At 45.2% G+C, this 23,160-nt stretch overlaps 1 long non-coding RNA gene across 1 annotated transcript in view, besides 1 other annotated feature; it reads right to left on the bottom strand.

Annotated features, from left to right (window-relative positions):
• LOC105374945 (uncharacterized) overlaps positions 1-23,160 on the bottom strand; it is a 148,669-nt gene that overhangs the window by 83,969 nt on the left and 41,540 nt on the right. The window lies entirely within an intron of this gene.
• Positions 13,796-13,985: a silencer, noted in NCBI's record as "fragment chr6:14958411-14958600 (GRCh37/hg19 assembly coordinates)". NCBI's record gives its function as "represses an EF-1alpha promoter that drives an FKBP-Casp9 reporter gene in an ReSE screen in K562 erythroleukemia cells {active_cell/tissue: K562}" and the evidence as "EXISTENCE:reporter gene assay evidence [ECO:0000049][PMID:32094911]".

The raw sequence follows: 23,160 nt of genomic DNA on the forward strand, positions 1-23,160 counted from the left end.
AACGTGGTGAAACCGCATCTCTACTAAAAGTACAAAAATCAGCTGGATGTGGTGGCATGAGCCTGTAATCCCAGCTACTCTGGAGGCTGAGAATCTCTTGAACCCAGGAGGCAGAGGCTGCAGTGAGCCGAGATCACGCCACTGCACTCCAGCCTGGGCGACAGAGCAAGACTCTGTCTCAAAAAAAGAGAAAAAACAAAACAAGAACCTGAGGAGGTTCTAAGTTCTACATTCAGATATGGAGCCATAGAATCAGAGCAGAGGGGGACAGTTGACATCCAGGTTTCATCAGGAGAAGAGAAGCCAAGGCAAAGATCTCCTGGGCAGTCATGATAAATATAGACCCACCATAAAGTAAGACTTCAGCTTTCTGGGGCATTAATCACCCTGTTGGGAGTTAGGCAAGATTGCATCAGTCCTCAGAGGATGATCACCCCTGGGAAAGTCATAAAACAAACTGCACTCACCTGGCTGGGGAGCAGGCAGAGAAACTCAAAGGCTTTATTAACAGCAGTGCAGTGTCATTCTTCATCAACTAGAAGACTCCAGCCTTCTGCAGGTCTGTCAACCCACCCCAGACCTCCTCAGTCACAACCTTGGGAAACTGGATTACAAGACTGACAGATGATTGCAAATGTTCAAAATTTTTATATTCCCCCAACACTATGGTTCTCATAAAACTTCTCCATCTTACTCAAAACAAGCCACCCCCTGCAGCTTTCCAGCTGGTATTAAATTGGCTGAATAATCCCCCTACTGTCAAAAATTTTGTCCTACACAAAAGGAGGGTGATCAGACAAGAAAAATGGACAATCGGCCCCCAGAAGTCACCTGGGCATCCAAGAGCCTGCTCTCTTGTTTTGCAGCTGCACAGGGACATGAGGCCGGGCACAGTGGCTCATGCCTGCAATCCTGGCACTTTGGGAGGCGAAGGTGGGTGGATCACTTGAGGTCAGGAGTTCAACACCAGCCTGGCCAACATGGCGAAACCCCATCTCTACTAAAAACACAAAAATGAGCCAGGCATAGTAGTCCCAGCTACTGGGGAGGCTGAGGCATGAGAATCGCTTGAACCCGGGAGGCAGAGGTTGCAGTGAGCCGAGATCGCAGCACTGCACTTCAGCCTGGGAGACAGAGCGAGAGTCCATCAGAAAGAAAGGAAAGAAAGAAAGAAAGAAAAGAAGGAAAGAAAGAAAGAAAGGAAAGAAAGAGAGAAAGAAAGAGGGAGAGAGGGAGGGAGGGAGGAAGGAAGGAAGGAGGGAAGGAAGGGAGGGAAAAAAAGAAAGAAAGAGAGAAAGAAAGAAAAGAAAGAAAAGAAAGAAGAAAGAAAAGAAAGAAGAAAGAGATCAGAGATGGAAGCCCCCATCTGCTGCACATGCTCACATCCTGTCCCATCTAAATTACTAACTGCTTTAAGGGATTAAGTAAAATGGCACATAGGAGGGAGGAAAGGCTAAGAGAAGACGAGGCATCTGGCTTTCTGTGTCTCCTTGGTGAGGGAAGACCACACCAATGCCAGCCAGCAGCAACAGCAGCTGTGAAGAGAAGCCGCCTTCAAGGAAATGCAACAGGAGAGAGAGAAGGGAAACAAAAGTCAAAAAAATCCCCAGTAAGGATCAGATACCACTTTCCTGAGCATACACACATCCTCTGCCCAAATGCCTGCGAAGTAGTCTGAAATACAAGTCATAATAATGTAAACCAGGTGTTTTAACTTCCGACCATAATGGCTGGCAAGACCATCAATGTACAATAATAACAACAACAACAACATCTGAAGTGCATCTGTGTTTAAACACATAACAAGCATATTTTTCTTTCTTCTCCAAGTAGGTGTCTGTTCTGCATTTATATTGGGATAGCGTCAAGGAGACTATGGACTAAGATCCTTTCTAGAAACAGTTCTTCTGTCTTTGAGAGTAACACTGGTGTTTTGGTTTTTTGTTTCAAAGAAAACACTGATGACAGGAGATGTTGTTTCAGGGAGGGAACTGGAAGTCTTCAGTGGTAGGAGATGCGAACGCTCAGAGGTCACCTCAGCAAACATAAAAACTATAAACTTGGGTCCAGGTGCGGTGGCTCACACCTGTAATCGCAGCACTTTGGGAGGCCGAGGCGGGCAGATCACCTGAGGTCAGTAGTTTGAGACCAGCCTGGCCAACATGACACAACCCTGTCTCTACTAAAAATACAAAAATTAGCCAGGCGTGGTGGCACATGCCAGTAGTCCCAGCTACTCGGGAGGCTGAGGCAGGAGAATCACTTGAACCCGGGAGGCGGAGGTTGTAATGAGCCAAGATCGCACCACCACACTCCAGCCTGGGTGATAGAGTGAGACTCCAACTCAAAAAAAAAAAAGAAAACAAAAAAAAAAAAACTCATGTTGTCCTACAGCCCAGGGAGAGGGAGGCTTAGGGACGTATTTCTTGATAGGGGTGTTACTGGCATTTGGACCAGACCAATGTTTTGTCGGATGAGACTGAACTAGTCTGAAATACAAGCATTGTTAGCAATTCTGGCCTCAGCCTAGGAAATGCCCATCATGCACTCGGACATTGTGACATCCAAAACAAAACAAAAACACACAAAAAACCAGAACAATCTTCCACACATTTCCAAATGCCCTCTTGGGGAGTACCACCCCTGAAAGAGAACTGGAACCAGATGTCCCAAGGTCAACTTTCAAGGTTGAGAATAGCTGTGCTCTGGAGGAGAAAAAAGAGAGAAGGAGCCAAGTACGGTGGCTCATGCCTGTAATCCCAGCACTTTGGGAGGCCCAGGCGGGTGGATCATGAGGTCAGGAGATCGAGACCACCCTGGCCAACATGGTGAAACCCCATCTCTACTAAAAATACAAAAAGTTAGCCAGGCATGGTGGCACACGCCTGTAGTCCCAGCTACTTGAGAGGCTGAGGTAGGGGAATCCCTTGAACCTGGGAGGCGGAGGTTGCAGTGAGCCAAGATCGCGCCACTGCACTCTAGCCTGGCAACAGAGCGAGACTCTGTCTCAAAAAAAAAAAAAAAAAAGAGAAGGAAGAGCTTTACAGACATCAAAAATAACCTAGGCACAAACCTTTGGGGGTCAGTTGTAAAACCACTATAGCAAATTGCCCAAGAATGGCTGTAGACTTTTTAGAGTTAAGAGGAAGTGTATATGTGTGTTTATGTGTGTTAATAAGTAAAATAACCATCTTCTCAAATAGCTTAAGCACAACTGCACTCAGACATAAGAGGTAGATGAAATGACTGCTTGGGCTCTGAATTCTACCTGGAGAATTGGTAGTGAAGGATCTAAAGGAATAGAGTTAATGTCCCATAGTCCATTAAAACAATATCATTACTGACAGACACAATTACACATTCATTCTTTTTTCCTTTTTTGGAGACAGAGTCTTGCTCCATCGCCCAGGCTGAAGTGCAGTGGTGCGATCTTGGCTCAATGTAACCTCCACCTCCCAGGTTCAAGCAATTCTCATGCCTCCTGAGTAGCTGGGATTATAGGTGTGTGCCACTACACCTGGGTAATTTTTGTGTTTTTAGTGGAGACAGGGTTTTACCATGTTGGCCAGGCTGGCCTTGAACTCCTGGCCTGAAGTGATCCGCCCGCCTCGGCCTCCCAAAGTGCTGGAATTACAGGCATGAGCCACCACGCCTGGCCCAATTACACATTCATTTTAATGAGGCATGGTCACATGTTAATAGCAGTTATGGTCATTTTAAAAAATGAACACGGGCCAGGCACGGTGGCTCACGCCTGTAATCCCAAGCACTTTGGGAGGCCGAGGCGGGAAGATCACCTGAGGTCAGGAGTTCAAGACCAGCCTGGCCAACATGGTGAAACCCCATCTCTTCTAAAATACAAAAATTAGCCTGGCATGATGGCTGGTGCCTGTAATCCCAGCTATTCGGGAGGCTGAGTCAGGAGAATCACTGGAACCTGGGAGGCAGAGGTTGCAGTGAGCCAAGATCATGCCATTGCACTCCAACCTGGGGCACTGAGCAAGACTCCATCTCCAAAAAAAAAGAAAAAATTGAACACGAATGCATAGACAATACGTCATTACAGCATGCAAATGGACTACAGTCCTGCAAACAGACACGCAGCAATGCCGGACCTGCCTCTAGGAATCTAGCGTGCAGCCTGCTGCTTTGCCCACAACAGCCCTCGCCTCCTATTGATTTCCTTCCACGCAGGCCAAGTCACAGTTCCCTTTGATAAGAATAACCAATAGCCTTCTAAATTTCCCCAGAAACATGGTGGGTTGAATTTTCAGTTGGATTTTCCACAGCTATAAGGAGAAAATTAATGTAGGAACCAACCCGGTCTTATTCTGCCTACTCACCCACTCCATCCCGACCTGACACTTTAATCAACTCGGCGTGTTTAAAAATAAATTTGATTGTATCAGGGAAGAGAAGTTGCTCAGAGCTCTGTGGCCACCCACAGCAGAATCTTCAAGGCATGCCTCATTTTTCAGGAGTTTGGTTGTTTCGTGTGTTTTTTCTCCATTTTATTCCAGTCCCCAAAACAAAGATTTGAAGGAGGGGAAGTACCTTGGCAATGGCCAAGGAGGGTTTCTTCCTAGCTCCTTCACCACCTGCCAGTTTGTACATTTGGACCAGTGTTTACCTTTCTCAAGCTTTCTATAATGCAGCACAATAGACACAATAAAACCTTGCTTGCTTGCTTTGTGAGGTTATGATAAAGAGATGGAAAGAGCTCGTGTAAGGACTGGGCACGGTGGCTCATGCCTCTAATCCCAGCACTTGGGGAGGCAGAGGTGGGAGGATCACTTGAGCCTAGGAGTTCAAGACCAGCCTCAGCAACATAGTGAGACCCTGTCTCTATAAAAACTAAAAAAATTAGGCAGGCATGGTGGCACACACCTGTAGTCCCAGCTACTCGGTGGGGCTGAGGTGGGAGGATTGCTTGAGTCCAGGAGGTCAAGGCTGCAGTGAGCCATGATGCCGCCACTACCCTCTAGCCTGGGCAACAAATGAGACCCTGTCTCAAAATAGAATTTTTCTTTTCTTTTGAGACAGTCTCACTCTGTCACTCAGGCTGGAGTGCAGTGGTGCGATCTCGGCTCACCACAACCTCCGCCTCCTGTGTTCAAGCAATTCTGCCTCAGCCTCCTGAGTAGCCGGGATCACAGGCGCCCACCACCATGCCCAGCTAATTTTTGTATTTTTAGTAGAGATGGGGTTTCACCGTGTTGGTCAGGCTGGTCTTGATCTCCTGACCTCGTGATCCACCCGCCTCGGCCTCCCAAAGTGCTGTGATTACAGGCATGAGCCACCACGCCCGGCCAAAAGAGAAATTTTAAAAAGAGCTCATGTAGAAGAAAAATGGTGCTGCTCACTGTGAATCTGGGGCATAGCAGTGAGGCGGCAGGGACACTGAGCCCCACAATTCCGCCAGGGCCCTCACCAGTAGGTGAAGCCGGGTACTGGGTTTGGGGGAGTTTGAGCTCTTAGGGGCAATATACAAATTCTGATCTAAACCCTCCCATGTTTATCAAGCACCCATTACATATATTCAGCCAGAACCAGAGCAATGATTGGGTGCAAACCTCATGCTCGCCTCTAAAAATTTCCAATTTGAGGCACTCTGCCTGGTGCAGTTTGGGTTGCTTAGTCTGACCATTCAGGGAACCCCAAAACATCATAACACGGTTTCTTCTGGGATACTAGTTGCTCTGATCATTTCTATGAATGCACAGACTGTCTGCACTGAAAAAGGAATGCAGATTTCTCATTTTCAAGATAATAAAACTGAGGCCCAGATTAGCAAAGAATCTCATTTCTCAAATAAGAAAGCTTCCTACTGAAAGTTGCCTCCTTTATAAATCCTCAAATGAGTAGGTGATATTTGAATGCCAAATGATACCACAAGACAGATTAGCATTGATTTAAATGCTGCTATCTGACAGATCTGGCCATCAATCATAACCTGATGTCTCAGGAGAGTCATCCTTTAGAAAAGGGCTGGGGAACAGCATGACCAGAATTTACAGCTGAACCAACTCTGCCTCGGAGCTGTCCTTTGCGCAACTGCTTGGGCAGCATCAGAATCACCTGAAAGGTTTGCTGGACCCATTCCTGGAGGTCCTAATGGAGTAGGTCTAAGGTGGGGAGTGAGTTTGCATTTCTAACCAGTTTGTGCTGGTGCTACTGTTGATGCTAAAGCTGCAGATGGTCATGGAGCCAGTGCCATATTTTGAGAACTCCATGCTAAAGCAAAGAGGGGGCCTACACATTTAATTTACAGATATTTCAAGAAAACTGGTCATTACAATCATAAGCCACTTATGTGGTGCTCTGGGCTGAACTGTGGGTCTCTCCCCTACTCCCAAAATTCATATGTTGAAGCCCTAACTCCCAGTATCTCCCAATGTGGCTATATTTGGAGCTAGGGTCTTTAAGAAGATAATCAAGTTAAAATGAGGTCAGCAGGGACGGCCCTAATCTTATCTGACTGGTGTCCTTATGAGAAGAGGAGATTAGCACTCAGACTGACACACAGAGAAGACCATGTGAGGACGTGGGAGAAGATGGCACCTGTGAGCTGAGGAGAGAGGCCACAGAAGAAACCCACCAGGCTGACAATTTGATCTCGGACTTCTAGTCTTAAGAACTGTGAAGAAATAAACCTGTTGTTTAAATCACCAGTCTGTGGTTCTTTGTTTTGATAGCCCTTGCAAATAAATACACATGGAGAAGCAAGATGGTGTGAAGAAAAATAGTATCTATTTTGCTAGGAACCAAGAGACGTGGGTTCTAGTCTCAGCCCTGCTGTGAGGCAGATGAGATTTCTCCTCTCCACTTCTCAGACTTCCCACCTCCTCCAGTCAAGGATCTCTCCTGTCAAGTGGGAGTAGTGACCCAAACCCTTTCTGATACACGAGGTTTTTGTGAAGCTCAAACATGAGAACTTATAAGAAAGTGGTTTTGGCCAGGCCCGGTGGCTCACACCCGTAATCCCAGCACTTTGGGAGGCCGAGGCAGGTGGATCACCAGAAGTCAGGAGTTCGAGACCAGCCTGGCTAACATGGTAAAACCCCATCTCTACTAAAAATACAAAAATTAGCCAGGTGTGGTAGTGTGCACCTGTAATCTCAGCTACTAGAGAGGCGGAGGCAGGAGAATTGCTTGAACCCGGGAGGCAGAGGTTGCAGTGAGCCGATATCGCACCACCCCACTCCAGCCTGGGTAACAGAACGAGACTTCATCTCAAAAAAAAAAAAAAGGTTTTTTAAATTGTGAATTTATTTGCTTTTGGTTCTGAACAACTGGAAGATCTGGATAAAATACAAAAATAATCTGTTCAGATGCACTGGGAAGCTATGGAATTCTCCAGAAGCACCAGGATCCAGAAAGAATGGAAGCTCCTGGAGAGAGCCAACACTTCATTTGCTGGTTTTCAAGCAGTTTTGAGCTAGAGGATAAGAATCAGTGCAGAGCTTTTGGCTATCCCTCAGGTCTAGGCAAACAAAAAATGGAGCTGTGGCTGTCAGGGCAACTGAGAGGTGGGGCCAAAATGCCAGAGAGGAGAGAGATGTGGAGAAGGAATCCTGAAGCTCCTCACTGGTTTCCCCTCCAGTCGTTGGTTAATTCCTAAGCTATGTTTAGAAGTTTAGCAAGAAGCTAAGAGGGCTTACCAAAAGCAGCTGAAAAGCTGAGTAAAGCTTTCAAGTCTCAAGGTGATGGGGAGACAAAAAATTGGAGTTTGGGACTGCTATGGTTTGAATGTTTGTCCCTCCAAAACTCATGTGGAAATTTAATCCCCAGTGTGGCAGTATTGAGAGGTGAGGCCTTTAAGAAGTGATTGGGGGCTGGGTGCCATGGCTTTGGCCGGTAATCCCAGCACTTTGGGAGGCCAAGGCGGGTGGATCACTTGAGGTCAGGAGTTCAAGACCAGTCTGGCCAACATGGTGAAACCCTGTCTCTACCAAAAAATACAAAAATTAGCCGGGCATGGTGGCACACGCCTATAACCCCAGCTACTTGGGTGGCTGGGATGGGAGGATTGCTTGAACCCGGAAGGTGGAGGTTGCAGTGAGCCAAGGTTGTACTACTGCCCTTCAGCCTGGGCAACAGAGTGAGACCCTGTCTCCAAATAAAAAATAAAATTAATTAAATTTCTTAAAAAGAGGTGATTGGGTCATGAGGGCTCTGCCTTGAGAAATAAATTAATCCACTCACGGACTAATGGATTAATGGGTGATCATGGGAATGGGACTGGTGGCTTTATAAGAAGAGGAAAAGATACCAGACCTATTGCATTCAGCCCCCTCACCACCTGATGCCCAGCATCTCCTCCAGACTCTGCAGAGTCCCCATAGCAAGAAGGCCCTCACCAGATGTAGCCCCTTTACCTTGGACTTCCCAGCATCCGTAACTATAAAAATGAATTCCTTTTCTTTATAAATTACTCAGTTTCAGATATTCTTTTATAAACAACAGAAAATGGACTAAGACAGGAATCTTTAATTGAATACAATGTATATTTAGGACACTCTGCTTAGAACTTCAGTTAGAGAAATACCAACAGAGGAAAGAGATATTTTACCAAAACAATCATTTAAAAATTTAAGAATCTGCAATCTTCTAAAGCAAAGGTTCTTAAACTGGGGTCTTTAGACTCGTCAAGGTGCCCATAGATAGAATTCAAGGTAGTCAAAAGTAGGGGAAAATATGTTTTTATTTTCACTAGCCTCTAATTCAAATTTAGCATTTTCTTCTATTATGAATGTAGGCAATAAACTACAGTAGTATGATCAGTAACTGTGATTTTTGTCATCAATAAAAATCACCTACGGTTGTTATAGACATCACAAAATATCATTTCTACATACTACTACTTTGAAATTATGGTAAGTATTAGATCTGCCACGAGGTCTTGTTGTTTCAGGCACCAACAGAGAAGCACATATACTACTATATGGCAAATCTGGTCTTTAAAAATATTTTTAAATGCACTTTCATTTAATTAGATTCCTCTGTTATTTAAAATGTTTTATCTTATACACTTGAAGACATTATTCTAAAGAGTCCATGGTATTTTTTGTTTGTTTGTTTGTTTTTCAGACAGAGTCTCACTCTGTCACCCAGGTTGAAGTACAGTGGCGCAATCTCAGCTCACTGCAACTTCTGCCTCCCAGGTTCAAGTGGTTCTCCTGCCTCAGCCTCCCAAGTGGCTGGGATTGCAGGCGTGAGCCACCACACCTGGCTGATTTTTGTATTTTTAGGAGACAGGGTTTCATGTTGGCCAGGCTGGTCTTGAACTCTTGACCTCAGGTGATCCACCCACCTCGGCCTCCCAAATTGCTGGGATTACAGGCGTGACCCACCATGCCTGGCCGTCCACGGTATTTAAATATGTTTTTAAAAATGCTTGGTCAGGCGAGGTGGCAGTTACCTTGGGTCATGCCCTGATTTTCATACATTGCAAATATTGCAATCAGATTCACTGCCACTGAGGGGAGTTAAGGGGAGGATTTGTGCCCATGCTTGGGGTGAAATCAAGGGAATGGCAGCTGCCTACAGAGTCAGGTTTCAGGACAACAAGGAGGGTAGAGCCATGGCGACGGGACAGATGGTGGCTGAGGTGGCTAGTGATAAGCGGGACAGATTTGTGGAACATGTGGGCATTCCCTGGGGATCCCCACTGCGATGTGGGGAAGGGAACCTGGTAGAAGTCTTACTTCCTGCAGTCCAACACAGTGGGGCTCGTGCTGGGATGATCTGGGTTTAAGAAGGAAGTGTGACCTTGTTACGTAGGTCTGAGATGGTTGCCCCTCAGGGCTGGCTACTCTGTAGCATTCTGTCACTTGCCTCTCCCCTCTGCTAGTGCCCACCTTTTGCAGTAAAACTGACATTGCAAAATTGTAACTGAGACAGTGAAAGAGATCTGACCTAACCAACTCCATCTTGCTTCTACCCTCCAAGCTAATAAACAAGGAATGAACCTTGTTTATTCCTGGGCGTAGGCTGAACTAACTTTGGGAGGAACTTAGTTTATAGTTTAAAATAAAGATGGGCTGGGCATGGCATCCCAGCACTTTGGGAGGCCGAGGCGGGTGGATTACTTAAGGTCAGGAGTTCGAGACCAGCCTGGCCAATATGCTGAAACCCCACCTCTACTAAAAATACAAAAATTAGCCGCACGTGGTGGTGTGTGCCTGTAATCTCAGCTACTCAGGAGGCTGAGGCAGGAGAATCGCTTGAATTTGTGGGGTGGAGGTTGCAGTGAGCCAAGATTGCACCACTGCATTCTAGCCTGGGCAGCACAGTGAGACCCTGTATCAAAAACAAACAAACAAACATGGTAACAGCCCTTTCCCGAAACAAGCCTCCTTCTTGCCTGGGGACTAGATTGCCTTTGTAGGACTAACAAAGTAGCCACAAGATTAGAAACAATGGCTTAGGAGTCACGCAGCTGGAGGCTACAAAATTCTGACCCTCCCTAAACTGCTCCTAAAATCAGTGCTTGAGATATTTTGCAGACCCTGCACTTGATGGATCAGCTGGCACAGCTGGCACCACCCAGATGGATAAACTGGCTCACCTGATCTTGTGGCCCCCACCCAGGAACTGACTCAGCGCAAGAGGACAGCTTCAGTTCCCTGTGATTTCATCTCTGACCTGACCAATCAGCACTCCTGGCTCACTGGCTTCTCCCCACCCACCAAGTTGTCCTTAAAAACTCTCATCCCGGAATGCTCGGGGACACTGATTCGAGTAATAATAGAACTCCGGTATTCCGCGCAGCTGGCTCTGTGTGAATTACTCTTTCTCTATTGCAATTCACCTGTCTTGACAAATTGGCTCTATCTAGGCACCAGGCAAGGTGAACCCATTGGGTGGTTACAGGGGGTTGGGAGTCCTCATGGTGGGTATGGCAGTCACTTGACTGGCTTGAAGTCTACCCACTCTGTGTTTTGATTCTGTGTGGTAGCATGTTCTCTGAGATCCTATTAGAGAAGTGGAGAGAGCAGGGAGGGGCAGAGAGGCACAGGTAAGGTGAGAGAGAGAGGTTAAAAAGAAGAGGCTCTAAAGAGGGGCTTTTACATTTTATTATATTATTATATATTATATTTATATATTATATTAATATTATAACTGTAATATTACTGTTATTTTTTATTATTACTATTAATGGCATTATAAGTGCTTTGGTAAAGACTGAATGCATTTGTAAGTCTTATTTTGGTCTGAGCCTGGGTTCTCTCATCTGTAAGTACAGGGACTAAATCAGATCAACCTTTTTCAATCTGTCTGCCTCTCAGTCCTGGCGTTCTGAGGTGTTTCCTGAGGACCTCAAAGGAGGAAGCTCAGCAAGCCTTTAACCAGAGGAATTTCACTTTCCTGACTTTCACAGGAGATTGCATTGTGGTTTTTTTTGTTTTTTTTTTTTTTGTTTTTTTTTGTTTTGTTTTGTTTTGAGATGGAGTCTTGCTCTGTTACCCAGGCTGGAGTGCAGTGGCTGGGTCTCAGCTCACTGCAACCTCCTTCTTCTAGGTTCAAACGATTCTCTCACCTCAACCTCTCAGGTAGCTGGGATTACAGGCATGCACCACCATGCCCAGCTAATTTTTGTATTTTTTTTAGCAGAGACGGGGTTTCATCATGTTGGCTAGGCTGGTCTCGAACTCCTGACCACAGATGATCTGCCCGCCTTGGCCTTTCTTTTTTTTGTTTGCGTTTTTTTTGTTGTTTTGTTTTGTTTTTTGAGACAGAGTCTCGCTCTGTCACCAGGCTGGAGTGCAGTGGCACGATTTCTGCTCACTGCAATCCCTGCCTCCCAGGTTCAAACGATTCTCCTGCCTCAGCCTCTCGAGTAGCTGGGATTACAGGCACGTGCCACCACCCCGGTAATTTTTTTGTACTTTTAGTAGACATGGGGTTTCACCATGTTGGCCAGGATGGGCGCCTTGGCCTTTGTTTTTCTTCTTCCTCCTCCTCCTTCTTCTTTGATAACATATTGGAAGCCTCAAAAAATGTAAGTGGCCTGGACTTCTCTCCATCTTTGCAAGGCCCTGGCATCCTGGATGTATAAAGTGCTACTCCCTCTGGGAAGGATGGCTTTGGGGAGGGATGTAGTGGTGAGACCAGTTATGAGTCTGATGTTGAGGTTCAGGTGTGGGGTGATGGGAATGGACCATGAGGATACTGAAGGCATGAAGAGGGGGCAATTCTGAGAGCCACCCCAAAGCTAGACGGGTGGGTAGGTCTGGGAGGATGCATTTTGGCTGGCTTTCCTTAAATCTAGCATGCTCCTAGGCTGTCTTCCCTGGCCTTGGGTTGATGTGTGTTCATAAAAGGTCAGTTCTTCTCCCATCCCCAAATAACTCATATAATACATTGATACAAATAACATATAGATCCTTAAGTCAAATAGAGATGACTTTTGCATTATTTTATACTGTTATGGTTTAATTTACTCATGTAATACTTGTAAACATGGCTATCAATTTCTGTGTATTTGGAAATTAGGAATTAGTGTCTTATTGAATATAGAGGAGCTTATCTTCATTTATGAGAAAAAAATTTAATTTTTTTGGTGGGGCGATGGAGTCTTATTCTTGTTGCCCAGGCTGGAGTGCAATCGCGTGATATTGGCTCACTGGAACCTCTGCCTCCCGGATTCAAATGGTTTTCCTGTCTCAGCCTCCCCAGTAGCTGAGATTACAGGCATGCACCACCACGCCTGGCTAATTTTGTATTTTTAGTAGAGACAGAGTTTCTCCATGTTGGTCAGGCTGGTCTCACTACTGCCGACCTCAAGTGATCTGCCTGCCTCGGCCTCCCAAAGTGCTGGGGTTACAGGCATGAGCCACCATGCCTGGCCAAAAATTTAATCTTAATACAACTTTTATATCCAGAAACTGAAATAGAGGGACAGTAGTAAAAAGGTATTGCTTTTATTCTATTTTTAGTACATTTTTGGGATCTTTTTTGATCAGTTGATTTTTTCCTGATGTAAATTACACATATGCATATACATATATTTTAGCACTCAAACTGAAGCCAACTCAAGGTACAGCAGAGAAGCTGAAATTTTAGAGCAGATAAGCGCTTTGATTTGAATTGATTGATTAGTTATCCTGATGTTTGAATTAGGTCCGGTTGGTGGGGACAGGGAGGGGTGGTATGATGTTGGAACAGCCCAGTGTATGCCTATCAGTGAGACACTGGTTAGATAACATTCAGGCCAGGTGTGGTGGCTCACACCTGTAATCCCAGCACTTTCTAGGCCATAGGCGGGAGGATTACTTGAGTCCAGGAGTTTGAGACCAGCCATCGCAACATAGTGAGATCTGGTCTCTATTAAAAAAAAAAACCCAAAAATTAAAAAAAAAAAAAAAAAAGTAACATTCTTCAACACAAGGTTTCCCAAACAAGGTAGGTTGAAAATTGGAAACATCTGCTTTTGATAGCTGACGCTTGTCCTGATGGCTATTCAGAGAAGGTGCTTTCCACAAAAGGCATACCGAGGAGGAGGAAAGGGGAAATGAGAGAGGGAAATAGCATTAAAAGTCTAAAGCAAGGGACGTGGCTTAAGCAATTATTCCTAAATTAGGAGCCTAAAACAAAAACCTGATTTTACAACCATCTTCTCTTGATCCTTTAAGCTAACTGATGAATACAACCATTCCTGCTTATTTTGGAGCTTTTGATTCTCTCCTTTTGATGGCATCTGTTTTAAATTATATCTTTATTCAATTTGAATAAGATAAAATTACCTTAAAAACTGATTTTGAGAATTTGAAAAGTTGACCAATTCAGTTTTGACTTAATTTCTTTAAAAGAGGTTCTTAAGCGTTTTTTTTTTTTTTTTTTTTTTTTTTTGTGACAGGGTCTCCCTCTGTTGCATAGGCTGGAGTGCAGTGGCACAATCTCAGCTCACTACAACCTCTGCCTCAGCGGTCCTCCCACCTCAGCCTCTCAAGTGGCTGGGATTATAGGCACGTGCCACCACAACCCAACTAATTTTTTTTTTTTTTTTTTTTTTTGAGACAGAGTTTCACTCTTGTTGCCCAGGCTGGAGTGAAATGGCGCAATCTCGGCTCACCACAACCTCTGCCTCCCGGGTTCAAGTGATTCTCCTGCCTCAGCCTCCTGAGTAGCAGGGATTACAGGCATGCACCACCACACCCAGCTAATTTTGTATTTTTAGTAGAGACAGGGTTTTTCCATGTTGGTCAGGCTGGTCTCAAACTCCTGACCTCATGTGATCCGCCCCTCTCGGCCTCCCAAAGAACTGGGACTACAGGCATGAGCCACCATGCCTGGCGAGGATCAGTTCTCTTTCCCCACCAGAATGTCCAAGCCCAACCTCCTGAAGATTAAGGAAAGCTTTTTCCAGAAAAACACATCTGCAGAAACTTGAAATAAGACAAACTTTAAGGTCATTAGTTCTTGGTGTCTCAAACTTCTCCACTTCTGAAAAGGATCATTGCTTCACCATTGTTTAACTAAAGGCCCTTACAGTTATTTTCTGTAAAACAGTCTGTCCTCAAGGTGAAACAAAGCCCCTACACCAGAGAAATAGAAACAAAATAACACAAAGACATCAAAACAACTAGTTAAACTTCTTTTGCTGTTGTCGTTGCTGTCGTTGTTGTTATTCAGAGACAATGTATCACTCTGTTACCCAGGCTGGAGTGCAGTGGTACAATCATGGCTCACTGCAGCCTCGAACTCCTGGGCTCAAGTGATTCCCCTGCCTCAGTCTCTAGAGTAGCAGTGACTACAGGCACACCCCACCACACCCAGCTAATTTTTGTATTTCTTAAGACACAGGGTCTTATTTAGGTTGGTGCAAAAATAATTGTGGTTTTCACCATTAAAATACTTTGCCATAAAATACTTTGTTGCCTAGGCTGGTCTCAAACTCCTGGCCTCAAGCAATCCTCCTGCCTCCACCTCCCAAAGCACTGGGATTACAGACATGAGCCACTGCACCCAGCTGTAGTTAAACTTTTTAAATGGCATTTCCCCCCTACTTTTAGCCATTGATGTTTCACAAAGTAAACCTTGGCCGATAAGCACATGAAAAGATGTTCAACATCATTAATCATTAGGGAAATGCGAATTGAAACCACAATGAGATAACACCTCATACCCATTAGGAGATCTACCTTCAACAAAAACCAAAACATGAGTGTTGATAAGGATGTGGAGAAACTGGAACCCTTATGCATTGCTGGTAGGAATGTAGGGTGGAATAGCTGCTATGGAAAATCGTATGATGGTTCTTCAAAAAAATTAGACACAGAATTACCATCTGATCCAGCAATTTCACTCCTGGGTATACAGTATACCCAAAGGAATTTAAAGCAGAGACTCAAAGAGATATTTCTACACTCATGTAACTAGCAGAATTATTCACAATGGGCCAGCCGCGGTGCCTCATTCCTGTAATCCCAGCACTTTGGGAGGCCGAGGTGGGCAGATCACCTGAGGTCAGGAGTTTGAGACCAGCCTGGCCAACATGGTGAAACCCCATCTTTACTAAAAATTCTATATTACTGGACGTGGTGGTAGGCACCTGTCATCCCAGCTACTCGGGAGGCTGAGGCAGGAGAATCACTTGAATCCAGGAGGTGGAGGTTGTAGTGAGCTGAGATCACGCCATTGCACTCCAGCCTGGGCAAAAAGAGCGAAACTCTGTATCCAGAAAAAAAAAAAAAAAAGTATTATTCACATTGGCCAAGAGGTAGAAGCACCCCACGTGTCCATGAACAGATGAATAGATTAGCAAACTAAGCTACATCCATACAATGGAATATCAAAAAAAGAAATCCTGGGCTGGGCATGGTGGCTCACGCCTGTAATCACAGCACATTGGGAGGCCAAGACAGGCAGATCATGAGGTCAGGAGATCTAGCATTCTGGCTAACATGGTGAAACTGCGTCTCTACTAAAAATAAAAAATAAAAAAAATTAGCCGGGTGTGCTGGTGGGCGCCTGTTGTCCCAGCTACTCGAGAGGCTGAGGCAGGAGAATCACTGGAACCATGGAGGCGGAGGTTGCAGTGAGCCGAGATGGCGCCACTGCACTCCAGCCTGGGTGACAGAGCGAGTCTCCATCTCAAAAAAAAAAAAAAAAAAAAAAAAAAAAAGTAAATTTTATGTTATGTGTATTTTAAATAAACAAATAGTGGGGGAACTGCCTTGGGGCCCAGTCTTAGCCAGAACACCTCATAGCACACACATCTACACTCTCCATAGTAGGTGAGATTTAAAGAGACCTTAAGTCACTGTATTAGAGAGACTCTGAAGGTATAGAATAGGGGCGAGTTCCAGTTATCTCAGGTAAGGATACATGGGGAAGTGATGAGCACAAGAAACCGTATAAATCTTTGCTGTCCAACAGAACTTTCTGTGAGGACAAACATGTTCTTGGCAATCTTCAATTCTGGGGCCACTCACCAGGCACTGAGCACTTAAAATGTGGCAAATGTGATGGAGGTGTTGCATTTTTCGTTTCATTTTAATTATTTTATTTTATTTCTATTTATTTTATTTTTTTGAGACAGAGTCTCACTCTTGCCAAGACTGGAGTGCAGTGGTGTGATCTCGGCTCACCGCAACCTCCGCCTGCGAGGCTCAAGTGATTCTCCTACCCCGGCCTCCCGAGTAGCTGGGATTACAGGCTCACGCCACTACTGCCCGACCATCATTTTAATTATTTTAAATGGAAGCAGCCACATGTGCCTGGTGTTATCATGTGGGCAGCATAGGGCTGGACAGCCACAGACAGCAGGCCCTGTCTGGAGCATACAGCAGTGCTGTTGGCTCAGCAGCCACACTGGTGGCTGCCCTCCTGGGAGAAGGCACTTACTGCCCCCAGGGCTCTACCATCACGGGGTGACTCCACTCTCCTCTGCTCATGCCTCCAGGAACAAACCACGTCCTAGCTTTCCCTTACTCTTGGCTTTTTCTCTCTTTTGCTCACTGTTGCCTTTGGAAGATCCTTTTGTTTGAATATCATCTATAGCCGGCCCAGCCAGTGTCCCCCAGAATCTATTCAAATATGTCGAAGCACTTAGAAACTCAGCACCTCATAAAGCATCCTCAGTCTCTACAGTGATCCCCCTACCTCAATCTCTAGAGTAGCTGGGACTACTCTAGACTACCTTTTTTTGAGACAAGAGTCTCACCCTGTTGCCGAGGCTGGAGTGCAGTGGCACGATCTCAGCTCACTGGAACCTCCGCCTCCTGTGTTCAAGCGATTCTCCCGCCTCAGCCTCCTGAGTAGCTGGGATTACAGGTGCGTGACACCACACCCAGCTAATTTTTGTATTTTTAGGAGAGACAGAGTTTCACCATGTTGGCCAGGCTGGTCTCAAACTCTGACCCCAAGTGATCCACCCACCTCGGCCTCCCAAAGTGCTGGGATTACAAGTGTGAGCTACCGTGCCTGGCCTGTTTATGTCTTTGGACTGTTCTATTAGAAAGTTTTTTCTAATGAGTGACTCAAACCTTTCGAAAAGGGAGCTCTTGGATAAATGCCTAATAACAACAACAACAAAAAACTGAAGCAAAGTGTTCCATTCTTCTGTCCTTCTCTGCACCTAGAGGTGAGGTTACTCCTGACCTCAGGTGATCCGCCCACCTCGGCCTCCCAAAGTGCTGGGATTACACGCGTGAGCCACCGCTCCCGGCCATGAAAGCTATTTTAAACTTCCAAAGATTATACTGTCCATTGATAATGGGAGCGCCTAAGTGCCCTGGTGTTATGGCCCCAGTCAGCACGCCATCTAAATGCTGAAGATAATAATCTTGCTTCTAATAGGAACCCCTTGAAAAGGAACCCTGTTCAATGCAGTGTTGCATTAAATGGAACGGCTTTTGAATAGGTGAGGCTCTATTTCTTTATGAAGAAAATCTCTCTGTGAAGCACCGTCTCCCTGCAGTGACATATTCTTGTATTCAACCGGATGCTTCACTGGTTTTTTGTGTGTGTAAGCTGAAGCTGAAAATATTTTACTAAATATAAATATCTCTATATAGTTATAGGTGATTTTCTGCCTATTTTCTCCCTTTTATCCATTCCCTCTTTCTTGTCGAGTTCTCACACCTACCATTCAGGGGATATCTTTTCTTTTTTTATAGCTTGTCTAGTTTTCAGTATTTGTCAAAGACCTAGTGTAACCGCTGGACCTTTTGTTTTTGTTTTGTTTTGTTTTTTCTTTGAGACAGAGTCTCGCTCTGTCGCCCAGGCTGGAATGCAGCAGCGCTATCTTGGCTCACTGCAACCTCCGCCTCCTGGGTTCAAGCAGTTCACCTGCCTCAGCCTCCTGAGTAGCTGGGACTACAGGTACCGCCCAGCTAATCTTTTTGTATTTTTAGTAGATACGGGGTTTTGCCATGTTGGCCAGGCTGGTCTTGAACTCCTGACCTCAAGTGATCTGCCGAATTCAGCTTCCCACCACTGGATCTTCTTTTTTTGTGTATGTGAGATGGTGTCTCACTCTGTAGCCCAGGCTGGAGTGCAGTGGCACGATCTCGGCTCATTGCAAGCTCCGCCTCCAGGTTCACACCATTCTCCTGCCTCAGCCTCCCAAGTAGCTGGGAATACATTTGCCTGCCACCATGTCCAACTAATTTTTTTGTATTTTTAGTAGAGATGGGGTTTCACCGTGTTAGCCAGGATGCTCTCGATCTCCTGACCTCGTGATCTGCCCGCCTCGGCCTCCCAAAGTGCTGGGATTACAGGCATGAGCCACCGCACCTGGCCAACCACCGGATGGGGTCCTATCTTCTTAATGGTTTGAGGATCCCTTCAAAAATCTCCAATAATAATAAGCACCATTGGCTGGACATCCTGGGCGCCAGGCAGTAGGTTAAAAATGTGCATTTATATGCTTGATATTATTCCATTTGTAATCGAGATGTATTTGTACATGAAAAGTTGTGTCCAAATCATCAGTTATCAGTCAAATATGTTGGGGCTCAGGAAACAGTACCCCAAAATAGGGTGCTTTGACCTGGAGAACTAAACAAACAGCCTCAAGGTCTCTCTGACCTCCCTCAGCCCTGTTCCTCAATACTCTGCCTCTCTCAAAACACAGAAGGAAGCTTTTCTCTGAAGTTCCCTTATCTACCTAGAAACTAGACCCCCAAAGAGAAACACAATTGCCTTCAACCCCTTCCCTGAAATTTCATTATCCAGAGAAAATTAAAATTAAAATTAAAATTAAAACTTATATCACAGAGCAAGACTCCGTCTCAAAAAAAAAAAAAAAAAAAAAAACTGAAATACTCCACCTAATTTTTTTTTTAATTTAATTTTTTTTTTTTTAGAGACAAGGTCTTCTGTGTCGCCCAGGTTGGTCTCAAACTCCTGGGCTCAAGTGATCTTCCCACCTTGGCCTCCCAAAGTGCTGGGATTACAGGCAAGAGCCACCACACCCATCCAATAAAATGTTAATTCCTAAAATAGAAATAAATTTCAGAATTGTCTTTCGTATGAAAAAAAAAAAAAAGTAGCCATTGAGGGTATCCAAAAACTTCAGTATAAGAGATCAGGCTTGGGGGCCTCCTCCTGACCTCTAAAAATGAGTCCTGGCCGGGCGTGGTGGCTCACACCTGTAATCCCAGCACTTTGAGAGGCCAAGGCGGGCAGATCACAAGGTCAGGAGATCGAGACCATCCTGGCTAACACGGTGAAACCCCGTCTCTACTAGTAATACAAAAAATTAGCCAGGCGTGGTGGCGGGCACCTGTAGTCCCAGCTACTCGGGAGGCTGAGGCAGGAGAATGGCGTGAACCCGGGAGGTGGAGCTTGCAGTGAGCCGAGATCGTGCCACTGCACTCCAGCCTGGGCGACAGAACGAGACTTCATCTCAAAAAAAAAAAAAAAAAAAAAAAATTTGGGAGGCCGAGGCAGGTGGATCACAAGGTCAGGAGATCGAGACCATCCTGGCTAACATGGTGAAACCCCGTCTCTACTAAAAAATACAAAAAATTAGCTGGGCATGGTGGCGGGCACCTGTAGTCCCAGCTACTCGGGAGGCTGAGGCAGGAGAATGGTGTGAACCCAGGAGGCAGAGTTTGCAGTGAACTGAGATCGCGCCACTACACTCCAGCCTAGGCTACAGGAGACTCCGTCTCAAAAAAAAAAAAAAAATAGTCCTAAGGACTCCCAGACACTACTCCAACAGCATGAGAGACTCCTGTTACCACAGCAACTGCCCTATGGCATCACTGTCCATGCCAAAATCCTCCTCCTCGCATCTTCTGAGGGCTTTCGGCCGGGAGTGTGAAAGAGAGCTTCGCGGCAGGGGCAACATCAAGGGTTCCCAATGCCTTTCCTAGAAGTGAAATTCCTTCCCCCGCGCTCATGGACCAAGGTTTCCTAAAGCCTGGGGGATTCCTAAGGCACCTAGAGCTGAGGGAGACTACAGACATAGCTGAGTTTACATACTTGCCTGGCACATTGCAGGGCTTCAGTAAATGTGTATTTATTAAACGTATGCAAGAGCTAAAAGCTCCTTTGCCAATGCCCAATAAATTTTAAAGACAATACAGAAATCTGACTCACACGATGGTTATTGACAGACAGAATATTGGAAAGGCCATAGTGCCGTCATGTGGATCTTTGTAAGGGTTAATGGCTGCTTCTTTGAATCTCAGTGTAGCAGCTGCAGATGACATCAGATTTTCTGCCACATTGGCTTAAATCAACACAATGAATCCATCAAGGGGAAGGCCAAGGCACCATTTGGGGCTTACAAGGAAGGACTGGCCAGAGGTGTTCAAACAAATGAGATTTCCCCTGCTGTATGAGGACATCTAAAATGTGACCATTTTAGGCATTTTCATAAAACAGTTAACTGCCTTTCTCGCTGAGAAAAAGACACACAGGACAAACATCAAGAGGCACAGATGACTACATCTCAGCCCAGTGTTGGGTGAGACAGAATGTTAGGAATTTGCTTAATTAGTAAGCAACAATTAATACAATTAGTTTGTATTAATTTGTACAACAAATACACATGAACTTCCTAGCTGTCTTTGTTCTCCCAGGTCCTCTCATCAGGTGATAGAACTGCCACATCACACATGGTTGCAATTATCACATTCCTAATAGAACACACATTCTGGAATATTCAACAGTCTTTTTATGAAAGACACCCAAAGCCTAAGAAACAATCACAGTCTTCAGAATTGCAGCGTGAACAATCCTGACACGTTGATTCTTCATTTAAACACACTCAGGAACAGCCAACAAATGGCACGTGTTGTCTATCTGTGCTCTCTGCAAATATATGTATGCTAGCGTCATCTAATGTGTCACCACATTTACCCTTTGTCTCAGCAGTCCTACCGGCCAAAACCCTAGGGAAAGAATGGCAAATTGGAAATGCAATCTACAGCATTCCTTTCCAGAAAATCTCAGGACAGGTATTTTCTTAGCAGTTCTGGGCTCATCATATTCAATTAATTCCCCACAGCCAACGATTTCATTTTCCGTAATAACTCAGAAGAGACCAAGAAAGTGATGCAATTCCATCTCCTTCCCTATCAACCACCTGCAAAGCTTTCACCTGCTGTAGTCAGAAGCCATTCCCCAGGCTCCCAAAAGTGTGAACAGCCCAAGGGTGGGTCCCAGGGGCAGGAGGGAAAGCCACGGAGAAACAGAGGCCAGGCGGTAGGGGAAAAATCGCATTTCTTTTGCAGAGAGTAAAACAGATACCCAGGTGGTAAACATAACTTCCAATTACTTGCCTTAAACCAACCCTGAAATGTGAAGTTCTCATATTTCCTTAGCTGACAACAGGCAGAAGATCCAGTCTGTAAATAACAAGGACTTTAGACTATAAATTTAGGGCTTTCAAGGGAAGCTCCAGGCTAGTCCCAGCATTTCCTCAGGCAGGCTTCAGTGTGGCATACTCTGCAGTCCTCGTGAATCACTCTGCCTGGCTGGACCAGATGAAGGACTAGATTCCTCAGAGTGTGAAACTAGTACCACCTTCCTAGGAAGTCACCTAAGTCCCCTGTTACAAATGCAAATTCCTGGGCCTTATCCCAGACCTAGTGAGTCAGACTCTCAGAGGAATCTACATTTTTAACTAGTGCCCTCTAATGAGGCTAGTGCACAGTAAAAATTTGAAATTTCGAGGCCAGGTGCAGTGGTTCACGCCTGTAATCCCAGCACTTTGGGAGGCCAAGGTGGGAGGCTCACTTTAGGCCAGGAGTTCAAGACCAGCCTAGGAAATATAGCGTCAGAGCCATTCAGTGACCCTATGTCGAATGGGACTGCGTAAAATAAGGCTGAGACCTAGTGGGCTGCATTTACAGGAGGGTAGGCATTCTTAGTCACAGGATGAGATAGGAGGTCATCAGGACTGGTATCACAGGATACCGAGTTTATTAGAGGGTCTTGCTCTGTTGCTCAGACTTGAGCCCAGGAGTTTACATCTTTTTTTAATTTAAAAAAAATTTCAAAACACTCAGCTCGTTTTAAATTTTTTTTTTTAATTTTAAAAATCTAAATTTTGTTAAGATCCTGATGATAAAAAAAAGGTGCAGTAAAGAAAATCGCCAACCCCACCAAAACAAAAATGGCAACAAAAGTGATCTCTGGTTGTCCTCACTGCTCATTATGTGCTAACTATAATGCATTAGCATGCTAAAAGACACTCCCACCAACACCAAGACAGTTTACAAATGCCATGGCAATGTCTGGAAATTACCCTATATGGTTTAAAAGAGGGAGGAACCCTTAGTTCCAGGACTTGCCCACCCCTTTCCCAGAAATCTCATTATTAATCCACCTATTGTTTAGCATATAATCAAGAAATAACCATAACTATACTCAGTTGAGCAACCCATACCACTGCTCTGTCTGTGGAGTAGCCATTCTTTTGTTTCTCTACTTCTCTAATAAACTTGCTTTCACTTTACTGCATGGGCTCGCCCCAAATTCTTTCTTGCACAAGATCCATAAACCCTCTGTTGCAGTCTGGATCTGGACGCCTTTCTGGTAACAATAGCAAGGCTCCACCTCTACAAAAAAAAATTAAAACTAGCAAGGTGGTGGCACACATGTAGTCCCAGCTACCCCAGAGGCTCACGTGGGAGGATGGCTTGAGCCTAGGAGTTCCAGGTTACAGCAAGCTATATGCACACAAGTGCACTCCAG

The sequence above is a fragment of the Homo sapiens genome, chromosome 6 (assembly GCF_000001405.40).
Source record: "Homo sapiens chromosome 6, GRCh38.p14 Primary Assembly".
In the NCBI taxonomy this organism is placed as follows: Eukaryota; Metazoa; Chordata; class Mammalia; order Primates; family Hominidae; genus Homo; species Homo sapiens.